The 14,906-nt window shown below is 38.8% G+C and overlaps 2 protein-coding genes across 4 annotated transcripts in view; both read left to right on the forward strand.

Moving 5' to 3' along the window:
• LUC7L2 (LUC7 like 2, pre-mRNA splicing factor) overlaps positions 1–14,906 on the forward strand; it is an 82,983-nt gene that overhangs the window by 50,721 nt on the left and 17,356 nt on the right. For all 3 annotated transcript variants that reach the window (NM_001244585.2, NM_001270643.2, NM_016019.5), the window contains 3 exons: positions 7,407–7,505; positions 10,945–11,055; positions 14,452–14,595. In NM_001244585.2, the coding sequence (NP_001231514.1) occupies positions 7,407–7,505; positions 10,945–11,055; positions 14,452–14,595 (354 nt within the window). The remainder of the gene's footprint in view (positions 1–7,406; positions 7,506–10,944; positions 11,056–14,451; positions 14,596–14,906) is intronic.
• FMC1-LUC7L2 (FMC1-LUC7L2 readthrough) overlaps positions 1–14,906 on the forward strand; it is an 82,118-nt gene that overhangs the window by 49,856 nt on the left and 17,356 nt on the right. Inside the window, exons 4-6 of the mRNA NM_001244584.3 lie at positions 7,407–7,505; positions 10,945–11,055; positions 14,452–14,595. Coding sequence (NP_001231513.1) covers positions 7,407–7,505; positions 10,945–11,055; positions 14,452–14,595 — 354 coding nt within the window. The remainder of the gene's footprint in view (positions 1–7,406; positions 7,506–10,944; positions 11,056–14,451; positions 14,596–14,906) is intronic.

Raw genomic sequence — 14,906 nt, forward strand, 5'->3', positions numbered from 1 at the left:
AGTCAAATCCTTGTATGTACATCTTTGTAGACACTTGCAGCTGTTGCTTTAGTTTAAGGCCTTGATTTCCATTGTGAATATAAATTCCATAATAGTAGAAATTATATTCTCATGCTGTTCTGTAATTTTGTTCAGGATCTGGTTCTTAGAACTGAACAAATGTTCAAACACATAACAAAGCAGTTATATTTACAATTACTTGGAGCTATTACTATGCCAAATTCTATCGTTTATATATTCATTAACATATTACTACTATTAATTTACACTTAGCAGTACACTCAAAATGTATAAATCAACCTTTTGATTTGCTCTACTGTAATATGTCTATTCGTTGATTTTAATGTATAGTTTTCACATGCCTCTCAATTTTTTTTCTCTAAAATTAAATTGGCTTCTTTTTTTTTGGTGGGGGGGACAGGGTCTCAGTCTGTCACCCAGGCTAGAGGGCAGTGACATGATCTTGGCTCACTGCAACCTCTGCCTCCCAGGTTCAAGTGATTCTTCTGCCTCAGCCTCCTGAGTAGTTGGGATTCCAGGCATGTCACCATGCCCAGCTAATTTTTATATTTTTGGTAGAGACGGGGTTTCACCATGTTTGCCAGGCTGGTCTCGAACTCCTGGCCTCTAGTGATCTGCTTGCCTCAGGCTCCCATAGTGCTGGGACTACAGGTGTGAGCCACCACGCCCGGCCTGGCTTCATTGATTTTTCCAATTGTAGTAATAATCATGCTCATTGCTTATAATTCAACCAGTACTAGAAAGTTCAAACAACCCTCATAGTAATATAGATTTGTAAATTCCAAAATTCGTATTTTATTATGTCTTTCTTTGCCACCTTCTCTTTTCTCCACTTGGTATATCAAGAACATCATTTTTAAAGGCTAAATAGACACTGTATGGCTATTCCATAGCTGAATCAACCAAACCTCTGTTGAGAGGCTCTTAAAATGTTTCTTCTTGTATAAAAAACAACATTGTTAAACTTTATTCTCCATTTATCTTTTTATAATTATTTCACTCTTAATTCCTTAGAAATAGAATTCCTTAGTCAAATTATCAGGTTTATTCAGTAGTCATGGTTTGTGCAAAACCTGGTCTTCTGGGAGGGATAAGTAAGAAAAATGGACCATTTTTCTAATGAAGCTTAAGAGTTTATTTGGGGAAATAACATTCACTTTTGGAATTTCAAAAGAAAAGTTAAAAATTCTTGACGATTTAACTTTGTTACCTTTGTTAGTAAAACAATATAAAATGCTGTGGAGCTATAAGTTACCAGGATCAGGTATAGTTATTTGGTCCACATTTCATGCAGTAATGGATTCAGAATGGAGAAGACAAAATGCAGAACTGAACTTAATTACAAATAAGCATTTTTTAAAAAATCTACAATCTAAGCATTTAGATGTAAAAATATTAAAAACCAAGAATAAGCTTGTGGAAGGAATTTAATTATGAAGTAAACTACTTGTCTTTTTTTGAGATGGAGTTTCGCTCTTGTTGCCCAGGCTGGAGTGCAATGGTGTGATCTTGGCTCACCGCAACCTCTGCCCCCCAGGTTCAAGCTATTCTGCCTCAGCCTCCCGAGTAGTTGGGATTACAGGCATGCACCACCACGCCCGGCTAATTTTGTATTTTTTTAGTAGAGACGAGGTTTCTCCATGTTGGTCAGGCTGTTCTCAAACTCCCAACCTCAGGTGATCTGCCCGCCTCGGCCTCACAAAGTGCTGGAATTATAGGCGTGAGCAACTGCACCCAGCAACTACTTGTTAAATTAAAAAAAAAATTTTAAGACCAGGTGTGGTGGCTCACGCCTGTAATCCCAGCACTTTGGGAGGCCGAGGCGGTTGAATTACCTGAGGTGAAGAGTTTTAGACCAGCCAGGCCAACATGATGAAACCCCAACTCTACTAAAAATACAAAAATTAGCCAGGTGTGGTGGTGCACACTTGTAATCCCAGCTAGTAGGGAGGCCGAGGCAGGAGAATTGCTTGAACCTGGGAGGCAGAGGTTGCAGTGAGCTGAGATTGCACCACTGCACTCCAGCCTGGGCAACAGAGCGAGACTCTGTCTCCAAAAAATTAGCCGGGTATGGTGATGTGTGCCTGTTGGTCCCAGCTACTCAGGTGTCAGGTGGCTTAAGCGGGAGGATTGCTTGACCCTGGGAGGTAGGGTTGCAGTGAGCTGAGATCATGCCATTGTACTCCAGACTGGGGGACAGAGTGAGGCCCTGTCTCTAAAAAAGTAAAAATAAATAAATAAATAATCATATATTTTGTGACAGAGTCTTACTCTGTTTCCCGGGCTGGAGTGCACGATCTCAGCTCACTGCAAACCTCTGCCTCCTGGGTTCAAGTGATTATTGTACCTCATCCTCCTGAGTAGCTGGGATTACAGGTGCCTGCCACCCTGTCCAGCTATTTTTTGTGTTTTTAGTAGAGATGGGGTTTCACCGTGTTGCCCAGGCTGGTCTCAAACTTCTGACCTCAAGTATCTGCCTGCCTTGGCCTCCCAAGGTGCTGGGATTTCAGGAGTGAGCCACCACACCTGACCATGTTTTAAATTTTAAGTACTTCTCATGTGCATAGCACAGTGCCAGAGTAGATGCTTAGTAGTCATCATGGTATGGACAGAGGAATATAGATGACTAGTATTCTGAAAATCTGCCTTGGCTATACCTACTGTCCCACTAGGTCCCTGAAGAGATAACCACTGAGGATATTCCACATACAAAAAAGCCTTCTTTATTATAATTAGGCCCTTGGTCCTAGGGCTTTGACACCAAAATCTACTATGATGAGTCAGGCTAGGCTATAAACTTGCAAGGACTTAGAGCCCAGAAAGTGACAAGCCCAACTAGCCTGCCTCTTGGAGGAAAAAAGAAGAATAGCTCAAAACACTTAAGAAGGTAAGGAGTCCAAGCAAAAGAGATAATCCAAGGAGAGGCTAAGAAGAACCTCCCTCCAGAAGCTCAGATCAGTTTTGTCCTGGAATTCATCTTGACCACTCTGGCTTGTTAATAAGCCGCCCTGTGCCAAATGTTCTTCTTTGCCCTCTTTCCTAGTTTGATTTATTCAACATAGGCACATCGTAGATAAAACAGAAGAATCCTTGCCCTATGGAGCTCACATTTTAGTGAGTTAATCTTACCCCTCTCATGCATCTTCCCCATGGCATGCCTTCCCCAAAAGGCTACTCTCACCAAAAAGTCCACCTCTACTATAGTGGTAAAATTGTATCTTTCTTGTGTTCATTTTGTTCTTAGTCTACATAGTTGCTTTTCTTCCTTTGGTTGGTTGTGTGATGTAACTTTAAAGAAGTGGAGGCAGGGAGCCTAGAATTATTGCAATAGAGACAGAGATGTTTAGGTTAAAAACAATGAGGCAAAATTTATGTGTTACTTTTAAGTTTTTGTTGAATACGGATTGGAAATGTAGTTGATCAGGGAACTGATGAAAGTAAGATAAAGGAGATACGGAAGAAAGGAAGTAGACAGCTGCTTTGAATCTCTGTGGTGAGCTTTCTTAGATGTTGTGGGGAATGACTTACTGAAAAATATTGAAAGGTAAGTTAGTACTGAAATAACCGGAACTAGCATGGTAAAGTGGAAGCAATATTAGACTAGGAATCAGTCTAACCAGATTTTCTGATAAGCACCCTGAGCAAGTCATTCTTTCTGTGCAAAGAATGGGACTAAAACTAGATCAGTGAGTGGTTCTCAACATTGCACATTAAAAATACCTGGGGGGCTTTTACAATTCAGTCAGTCTTTGGGAGGTAGGAATTGGGACTGTTTTTTAAAAGCTTCCATCAATATTATGTAAAAGTTCCCCAGGTCTAAGTTGAGAACCACAGTGGATCAAAAAGTCTTTCCAACTGTGACATCTTGCATTTTATGAAATAAAATAGAATGTAGCATCATGTGAACAGCTATAGCTTGTGGAAATAAAATATTAAGGAAGTTGTTGGCGTGATTGATGTTTAGAAATTGTTAATTTCAGAAACGTACTGCCTGGCATATCAAAGACAATGACAGCATCCTTCTGCCATTAGCTTCTTTCATTCCTGTTATATTTTCTGGAATTCTTTCTTAGGAATATTTAAGTTTTTCTGCATTTTCTTAATAATTGTTTAATGAGCACCTTTTAAATTTGAATTTCTACACATCATAGAAAGCTTTACTTTTTGTTTATTGTCACTGAAAAACTCCTTAGCTTGTTAAACCAGACTAATGAATCGGGGGGTAAGGATTGGAGCCTGGAAAAATCTCAGCATGCTCAGTAACAGTACAGTACTTTAATACCATTAAGCATGATGAGGACTTTTATAACAGTGATGAGTCCTCATTATTTCCCAAAGGATAACTGGGGGCAGAATTTATACGTTCCCATTCATTCCATTATATAATTAAGAACTGAAGGTAATATAGTTTTACAGAAAAACATTTTCTGTTTGTTTTTACTTTTGAGACAGGGTCTAGCTCTGTCACCCAGGCTGGAATGCAGTGGCATGATCACAGCTTACTGCAGCTTTGACCTCCAGAGCTCAAGTGATCCCCCTGCCTCTGTCTCCTCAGGAGCTGGGACCACAAGCATGGGCCACCATGCCTGGATAATTTTTTTCTTTTTTACTTTTTGTAGAGACGGGGTTTTCTTATGTTACCCAGGCCGGTCTGGAACTCCTGGGCTTAAGTGATCCTCCCACCTTGGCCCCCCGAAGTGCTGGGATTATAGGCATTAGCCACTGTGGCCAGAAACATTGTGTGTTTTTTACTTTTTTTAATAGTCACAACATCTAAGAGTCCGAAGGAAGAAAAAAGCTACCTGATGGTTGAATTATTTCCTTAATATCCTAATAAAATGGTTGTCAAAACAGTGTTTGAACATCTCATTTATCTGGGAACTCCCTAACTCTGAGGATGTTTGTTCTACCTTCAGAAAGCTTTGATTATTGAAAATATTTTCTTGGCCAGGTGCAGTTGCTCATACCTGTAATCCAGCATTGGGAGGCTGAAGTGGGAGGATCACTCAAGCTCAGGAGTTTGAGACCAGCCTGGGCAAGATAGCACCCTTTGTCTCTACTTAAAAAAAAAAATTAGCTGGATATGGTGGCGGGGGACGGTGGTCCCAGCTACTTGTCGGGGAGGGGTGCTTAGGTGGGAGGATCGCTTGAGCTGGGAGGTGGAGGCTGCAGTGAGCCATGATTATGCCACTACACTCCAGCCTAGGTGACAAAGTGAGACCTTGTCTCAAAAAAAGAAGAAAAAGTATTCAGAGAGTTGAAGTCTGACTCATTGGAGTCCCTTCGGGCCATAATAAAACAAATCTATTTCTGCTGCTTTATGAAAAATTCCTCAGTTGATTGAAGTTGGTTCACATCTTTTGTCTTCTCTATTTATTTCTGTTCCCTGGCTTTTTTGTGCAGCCTGGTTTTGAGATACTTTGTCTAATTTTCTCATATTCCTTTTGAAATGTGTTAGTACATAGAATGTGTGTTTTGGAGAGCAGTGGTTTGCTTTTAAAACCAGCCTTCAGTAGAGAGTTCCTACTTTGTTTATACTGTGTCCTCTTTGAGTTAGTTTTAGACAATATAGATTTTTCTCAGTTGTGCCATGCTGTAACTGTTACTCTTGACTACTTACATTTTTAAAATGTCTGATTCTCTGCTCATACCTACTTATTTGTAAATTTATTGTCTTGGATATGTAACTATAGGACTTCATATTTATTTCTTTTAAATTTTATCTGGTCTATTAATACTTTTGAATCTTGATCTCGTGCATTAGCTATCCTTTTTAGTTGGGATATTTTATAAAATTAATTATCATACGTTTGTTTTATACATATTTAGGTTGTTGACAAGTTAAATAGGCATACTCATTTTTAGATACTGTATACAAAGCTAAGGCTCAGACCTGTGTGCCATACTCTATTCCTGTTCCCTGTTACCATAAACTTCCCTGTGATTAATAGTGGCATATAAATAAATAAATATTTTAAAGATCTGCCTTCTAAATCTTCTGTACAACCTGGAACATTACTTTTTGCCTTTTCCTAAGATTCATTTGCTTCTCCCTCTTTAGATCCAGTTTAATTGTATCCTCTTCAGAAAGGTCTTCTCTGACCAACTCATCCCAAGTAGGCCCCCATAATAATGGGGAACATTGCTATTTTATTACATCATCTGACTTTGTTCATAGACATGATTCTTGTTATTTGTTTCCCCTCAAATAGAATGTAAGCTCCATGAAGTCAGACTGTCTGTGTCACTTAAGTCTATATCCCTAGCACCTAAAGTAGTGCTTACCACAAGTGGGAACTTAATAGTCAAAGGAAGGAGAATGACTTGTACTCCCTTTTTACCAACCCTCCAGAGATTTTGAGGTATTCCAAGGGTGGTCACACCTCCAGTTGGAAAATCTCCGCCTTGCTTTCATCACCGATTAATCATACCTGTAATGATCCTTGCATCTTGCCAATTTTTTCTCATATTTTCCCCCAAAAAAGTTTCATGAAAGATCTTAACAGTTGCCTAGATACATATAAAAATGGATAGATTTTTAGATATTTTGTCTCAGATATGAGGAAAGCCTCTGGTTTGGTAAATAACACCTAATTGGAATTTCCAAGTAGAAGGACCCTAGATTCAGTAAGAGTATTTATTTCCCTGATACATGCTTATTATAAGTGGGATTAAATGCTTGTTCTCTGTGCACTTATGTTGGGTCTTACTAGTAAATCACCTCTTTACTAGTTTATATGGAGTCTTGTCCCCAGACAAGACTATATCAAAGTCAACAGTCTTGTTTTGTTGTGGGTTTTTAAAAATTTTTTATTTTTTAAAATTGAGACAGGTGTTAGTGTGTTGCCCAGGCTAGGCTGGTCTCAAATTCCTGGGCTCAAGCGATCCTCCTGCCTTGGCCTTCCAAAGTGCTGGGATTACAGGCATGAGCCACCATGCCTGGCCACCAGTCTGGTTTTTGAGGACTCCATCTTTATTTGAAAAATAGGATGTTCTTCAAAGCACATTGACATCTCAACAATTTGATGTATATATTCTTTTAGTTTGGTTTAAAATTAACTTGATCTTTTTTGTGTTGTGGAGCTAAATGAACTATGTTGTGATATAGAAGCTAGCTTTTTTCAGATTCTGAAAAGCTTTTCCATATCCATTTATTCTTAAATACAAGTGATCCCTGTTCCCATCTGTTGGTAGACAAAATTGGTGCCATTTTTTTCTTCTGACACCACGTTTTATATTTGTCTATGAAATTTTGTAATTTGGAAGCCCCTACATAAAAAAGCATCTGTATGACTTAATATGTATTCTGACAAGAACTGTGGTTGTTGAAGCATTTTTTAAAAAACTTTTTTTTGTTTTAATATTATGTCTTTTTTCCCTTCCAGAGAATGGATCTTGGAGAATGTCTGAAAGTCCATGACCTGGCTTTAAGAGCGGATTATGAAATTGCATCCAAAGAACAAGATTTTTTCTTTGAACTTGATGTATGTGATTTTGCTTTAATGGTTTGTTGTTATCTTTTGCTGTAAAACATTGTGAATGTGGATTAAGATCTCTTAATAGGAAAAACTCTTAGCAGTTTATCCTCTGGTTATATGAAGGGTAAGACTCAAGTAAGATCATGTACTTTCTTGACAACTCTTTTAAAAATATGAGGTGAGACTGTATTTTAAGAAAATGTGTAACAGTCGTATGATTCATATATTCTTTTGGAAATTAAGCATATTCTTCCCAACAAAATAGTAATGATTAAGGAAATATCAAGCAAATGTAAGCAACTAATTTATAGTGTATATAAGGACCTATCTTTAGTAATATACTGAGTTTTTACATTCATATTTATTTTTGAATCTACTTATATATATATATACATGTATATATAGTTGGCCCCCCATATCTGTCGTTGAATCTGTAGAAGGAACCAACTGGGATTGTAAATATTTAGCAGAAGAAATGGATTGTTGCATCCGTACTGAACATGTACAGACATTTTGTTCTTGTTATTATTCCCCAAACATTACAGTATAACTGTTTACATAGCATTTACATTGTATTAGGTATTATAAGTAATCTGGAGACATTTTAAAGTATATGGGAGGATGTGTACTGGGAGATTATATGCAAGTATTACACCATTTTATATTAAACGTGCATTCATGGATTTTGGTATCCGCTGGGTCTCCTGGAACCAATCTCCCACAGATACTGAGGGACATGCATATGGGTGTTTGGGGGATTTTTTTTTTTTTTTTTTTTTTTTTTTTTTTTTTTTTTGAGACAGAGTCTCGCTCTGTAGCCCAGACTGGAGTGCAGTGGCCCAATCTCGGCTCACTGCAACCTCTGCCTCCCGGGTTCATGCTGTTCTGCTGTCTCAGCCTACCGAGTAGCCGGGACTACAGGCGCCTGCCACCACACCCAGCTAATTTTTTGTGTTTTTAGTAGAGACAGGGTTTCACCGTGTTAGCTAGGATGGTCTTGATCTCCTGACCGCGTGATCCGCCCGCCTCAGCCTCCCAAAGTGTTGGGATTACAGGCGTGAGCCACGGCACCCGGCCGTTTGGGGGATATTAAGGACAGTGTTTTTAATGAAAAACCAAGAAATGGAAGACACCATTTAGATACCTAAAAAAGCCTGAAATGTAACTTTATATTGCTGTTTTTATATGAAAATCGTTTGCATAAAAATAAAGTTTTTTTGCATATATATAATCAGCATTACATAAAACATACTAATGTGCATAAATCTTTGATACATTTTATAAGTGAAATAATAGATGTTTTAAATTTGGTTTTAGGAGATAAACCAACAAACAGGTCCTCTTGTCTTCTGAATATCCAAGAATTTCTGCTAATGGAAATGAAATTGTTTTCAGAAATATAATTTACAACACATTTTCCCTACTTTTTTGGTGGTTTTTGGCCTTGCGGGGGTATTTTTATATTTATATCTTCTGATTTATCAGTCTTTAACAAATCTATAGCCAGGCGTGGTGGCTCGTAATCCCAGCACTGTAATCCCAGCACTTTGGGAGGCTGTAATCCCAGCACTTTGGGAGGCCGAGGCAGGGGTGGATCACCTAAGGTCAGTAGTTCAAGACCAGCCTGGCCAACATGGTGAAACCCCATCTCTACTAAAAATACAAAAATTAGCCGGGCATGGTGGTGGGTGCCTGTAATCCCAGCTACTCAGGAGGCTGAGGCAGGAGAATCACTTGAACCCGGGAGTCAGGTTGCAGTGAGCCTAGATCATGCCACTGTGCTCCAGCTTGGGGGACAGAGCGAGACTCTGTCTCAAAACACAAACAGAGAAACCAAATCTATTTCATTAGTTCTAAACGCTTTTCTTTTTCTGAGGTGCTAAGAGTTCTCTCCTGTGGTTTCTTCTGGCATATTTTGGCTTCATTTTATAGACTTTTAAGTCCTCGATTCATCTCAGATTTATTCTGGTTTAAGGAACTGAGATATGGATCTAGTCTCCCCCCAACCCCACATAGCTACTTAGTCACCCAACACTATTTGCTGATTAGTCCATCTTTTCTCTCACTGCTTTGAGATGCCATCTTTATCTTTACATAAGGAAATTTGAATAGATTTCTGTTGTGATTTAAAAATTTTCAAATTAAAAGAAATTAACTATTTTTATGTTATCACAGATAAAAGCTGTTTAAGAAATGATCCTTATTGCTTTTCACATTGAAGAAATTCTTGGGTTATCCAACTATTTTTGGAATTCAATGTGTGCTGAATAAATTTGTATTTTTAGTTCAAACATTTGTATCTTGAATTAGTTATATTTCTGTACAGTAAGATTTGGAAGTCCAAACTTGAGAATGAATTCTTAAAGTTTACTTTTAAATGAACTATTAATTGTAGACATTAATATGTGCCTCACAAATGTCTTATATAAATATTGAATTTTTATAGTGTAGATACTGCTAAAATTCTCAATGGTTTATTCTCTGAAAAAAGATAAGTTTTCCTGATGTGCGAGACTCTTGTCTCAAAAAAAAAAATTCTAAAGCAGTTTGGAGAATTAAAAGAAAAAAGGGTAAAAATGTTCGGAAATACTTACTGTTAGCATTTTGTATAGTTTTCCATTTTTTCTGTATTTTCTTTTTGTCCATTCAGATCTAGACTTGCAGCAGATTTTTCTGTCTTTATTTTACAAAATTGGGATCTTACTGCATAACATTTGTAATTTGCTTTTTATTTACAAATGAATCCTGAACATTTCTTCATGTCCTCAAGTGATTTTTTTTGAGACAGTCTCATTCTGTCACCCAGGCTAGAATGCAGTGGTGCGATCTTGGCTCACTGCAACCTCAGCCTCCCAGGTGCAAGTGATTCTCCTGCCTCAGCCTCCCGAGTAGCTGGGATTACAGGCGCGCACTACCATGCCTGGCTAATTTTTGTATTTTTAGTAGAGACGAGGTTTCACCATGTTGGCCAGCGTAGTCTCAAACTCCTAACTTCAGGTGATCTACCTGCTTCGGCCTCCCAAAGTGCTGGAATTATAGGCGTGACCCACCACGCCCAGCTTCTTTTTTTTTTTTTTTTAATGACAGGGTCTCGCTGTGTCACCCAGACTGGAGTGCAGTGGCATCATCAGGGCTCACTGCAGCCTCAGCCTCTTTGGGCCCAAGTGTTCCTTCCGCCTCAGCCTCCCGAGAAGCTGAGACTACAGGTGTGCCCCACCCACCTGGCTAAATTTGGATTTTAAGTAGAGGCAGAGTTTCGCCAAGTTGGCCAGGCTGGCCTCAAGTGATCTGTCTGCCTTAGCCTCCTAAAGTGCTCAATTACTGACGTGAGCCACCGTGCCCCACCATGGTAGCATTTTAAAAAGCAAAGTGTGATTTTTGTATGAAGATATTTCTGAATAAAATTGACTTTCTGACAGTAATTGTCTTTAATTAAACTTTGTAGGCCATGGATCATCTGCAGTCATTCATTGCAGATTGTGATCGTAGAACAGAAGTGGCCAAGAAAAGATTAGCAGAAACTCAAGAAGAGATTAGTGCTGAAGTAGCAGCAAAGGTAAGAATTTTAATCATTTCATTAGTACAAAGTATTATTTCGACTCCTTTTGTTTAAGTTTTTATTTTGAAATAATTAGATTTGCAAGAGATTGCAAAGACATATACAAGGAATTCTGTATACTTTCTTGTCTGCCCCAGTGTAAACATCTTATACAATATAGTGCAATATCAAATAAATTGACATTGGTCTAATCCTTATATTTTATTCAGATTTTGCCAGTTATGCATGCATTTATTTGTGTATGCATGTCTGTATGTATAGCTCTGTGCAGTTTTTTTGTTTTTCTTTTTGTTTGAGACAGAGTTTTGCTGTGTTGCCCAGGCTGGAATGCAGTGGTGTAATCTTGGCTTGCTGCAATCTCTGCCTTCTGGGCTCAAGTCTCGTGCCTCAGCCTTCTGAGTAACTGGGATTACAGGTGTGCGTCACCAGGCCCAGCTAATTTTTTTTATTTTTAGCAGAGACAGGGTTTTGCCATGTTGGCCAGGCTGGTCTCAAACTTCTGGCCTCAAGCGATCTACCCACCTTGGCCTCCCAAAGTGCTGGGATTACAGGTGTGAGCCACCACGCCTGGCCAGCTCTCTGCAGTTTAATCACATGTGTAATTACAGCCACAGTTAGGATGCTTAAGTATAACATTGCCACAAGACTCCCTCATGTTACCCCTTTTATAGCTACATCCATCTTTACCCCCACCCAGCATCTCTACCCTTGGCAACCACTAACCTATTCTCTATCTCTGTAGTTATGTTATTTCATGGAGTGTTACATAAATGAAATCCTGTGTACGCTTTTGAGATTTGGCCTTTTTCATTCCATATAACTTTCTTGAGATTCATTCAAGTTGTGTGTATCAGTTCATTCCTTTTTATTTCTCCATTGTACAGATATACCACAGTATTTTTATTTGCTTTTAAAAGCAAATGTTAAATGTCAATATTTCACCTGTAAGTTATAACCACAGTAATACATACATAAAGTTAACAGTAATTTTTTAATGTTATCCAGTGTATGTTTATTTTTCTTATAGAGTCGATTTATTAGAATCCAAACAAGGTCTTTTATATTGCATTTGTTGATGACTTATTACAACATAATTATATTCCATTCAGTATGATCAAGTGTGTTTTATGAAAATGCAGAATGGGAGAAAAAGAGTTACCCAGGTGGAGTTTAGATGACAGTATTAAAATATGGTGTTCAGATATGTATATACAAATGAAAATAGATTCCATCGTTTGAGAAAAGGGTTGCTTTTAGTCAACCTTTTCTGAAAATTCTCTGAAGATGGGGACTGGAAAGACGGGCATCCTGAAGTACAAAGGATCTAGTATCTCATGGTTGGAAGAGATCTGTAAGTGCTTGGTAGAGCCTGAGTTGTATTGGTTGTATTGGTTATCCATCACTACACAAATGCTGTATAACAAACCACCTCAAAGCTCAGTGACTTAAAACACTATTTATTTAGCCCATGACTCTGCAGTCAGTGATTTAGGCTGAACTTGACTGAGCAGTTATTCTTGTTTCAGCTGGGCTTACTCACATGCCTTGCAGTCCACTAGAGGATGCAGAGCCATGCCCAGCAGGCTAGCCTGGCCGTGTTCTCATAGTGGTGGTAGAGGTGCAGAAGCATCAAGCCCCATCACACAGGCCTCTCCTTTGGTCATGTTTGCTACCATCTCAGTAACCAAAGCAAGTTCATGGCCAAATTCAGAGTCAGAGTACGATGGTACACAATTACATGGTCAAGGACATGGATACAGGGAAGAAAGAAGAGTTTTGGACAACAGTTTAGTCATTCAATGATACATTTAAAGGAAAATACCATTTGGTAGAGAGGGAGGATAGTGATAATAGAATTGGACTCTCATTGAGGGAAGAAATATTTTGGGTTGAAGGATATTTGAGAAGTAAAGACTATTAATTAAACCAGTAAACTGGTTTGTTGGGACTGGAAACTCATACCAAACTAAAACCTTCGGCCGGGCGTGGTGGCTCACACCTGTAATCCCAGCACTTTGTGAGGCCAAGGTGGGTGGACCACTTAAGGTCAGGAGTTTGAGACCAGCCTGGCCACCATGGTGAAACCCTGTTTCTACAAAAACTGCAAAATTAGCCAGGCATGGTGGTGCACGCCTGTAATCTCAGCTACGTGGGAGGCTGAGACAGGAGAATTGCTTGAACCCAGGAGGCAGAGGTTGTAGTGAACTGAAATCATGGCACTGCACTCCAGCCTGGGCGACAGAGCAAGACTCCATCTCAAAAACAACAATAACAACAAAAAATTAAAACCTTCTTTGCTAACATATTATAATTGGCCATACAGCAAAGACTTTGTGGCCCAAATAATGATTATATGTATGTTTTATGTGCCATTACAACAGTAGGAATGAACTAAGTTGCTAGGATGATGATGGTGATGAGGAAGAGGAACGTATTCTTTCCCAAGGCCAGAGTTAATCCTGGTGGAAAGCTAAGGACTCATAGAGTGGAGTTGCCAGGCGAGTATGCTGAAAATCAGCAAGGTGCTATGCAGGGTACATACGAGGCTTATTTTCTCATTTCTCACAACTTTGTGGGATAGGTACTTCTTAGATGAGGAAATGAATTCAGGTATAAGTAATGTGGCCAAAATTACACAGATAGTAATTGGTTTAGCAATAAGTCAGATCTGATGGATTCCTGAACTTGATCCACCAATTCATTTCTTTAACTCATATTTGAGCCTAGGCTATTTGCTGAGCACTAGAGATACAAAGATGGGAAATACAGATAGCTGTCCTTAAAGTAGTATGATATTTATGAAAGGAACTGTCAAAAAAGATACAAAGGTGACACAAAGGAGAGAGTATGGCCATCTTTGCTGATGTGTTTAAGTGGGGCTGGGATGTGGTGACTGTTCAGGAATGTTTTACAGAAATGGCCCTTGAGTTGTATCTTGTTGGAACGAGTGAATATTCAGTAGGCAGGCGAGAGGTAAGGGATCCCATCCCAGAAAGAAGAGTATATGCAAAGTAACAGAGGTAGAAAACAACAGGGTAAGTTTGGGGAAACTATAAATTATGTTGTGAGGTGGGGGAGTAGCAAGAGATGGTTTAGAAAAGTACAAAGGGCCAGATCATGGAAGAAATCGTATTTTACACTAGGAATACACCACCTCGCCAGAGGATAGAAAGTTATATTGGGCCCAGTAGTAGCCCTGACTTCATTGAGGTAAGGCAGGCAGGCTCAGAACATCCTGATGTCTCAGTAGTTCATTTGGGATACGCTCAGAAAGCATTCTTTAACCACATACTGCCTTAGATAACAAGTTTTTTCTCAGCAGTTCTGAAATACTTTGAAATTTAAAATTCATTCTCTTGTTTATTCATGATCTTCTTTTTTATTTCTTTTTAGGCAGAACGTGTTCATGAGTTAAATGAAGAAATTGGTAAATTGTTAGCCAAGGTGGAACAACTAGGAGCTGAAGGGAATGTGGAGGAATCCCAGAAAGTAATGGATGAAGTAGAGAAAGCACGGGCAAAGAAAAGAGAAGCAGAGGTAAATTCTTAATAGTAGTAGACGAATTCTGCTTAATTTGGTAAGACTACAAATAAAAAGTAGTAGATGAAACTTCAGTATCTATACTTCTCTAAGAACATGTATTTGAATGGAAATTATTGAACAGTTGTTAAAGAGAAGTTGAACTAAAAGACAAAAACAAAACAAAACTCGGAAAAAGCTGGTTGTGGTGGTGCGTGCCTTTGGTCCCAGCTATTTTGCAGGCTAAGGTGGATCGCTTGAGTCCAGTTCAAGTCCAGCCTTCTTCTTTTTGTTTTTTTGAGATGGAGTTTTGCTCTTCTTGCTCAGGC

The sequence above is a fragment of the Homo sapiens genome, chromosome 7, assembly GCF_000001405.40.
Source record: "Homo sapiens chromosome 7, GRCh38.p14 Primary Assembly".
NCBI lineage: Eukaryota > Metazoa > Chordata > Mammalia > Primates > Hominidae > Homo > Homo sapiens.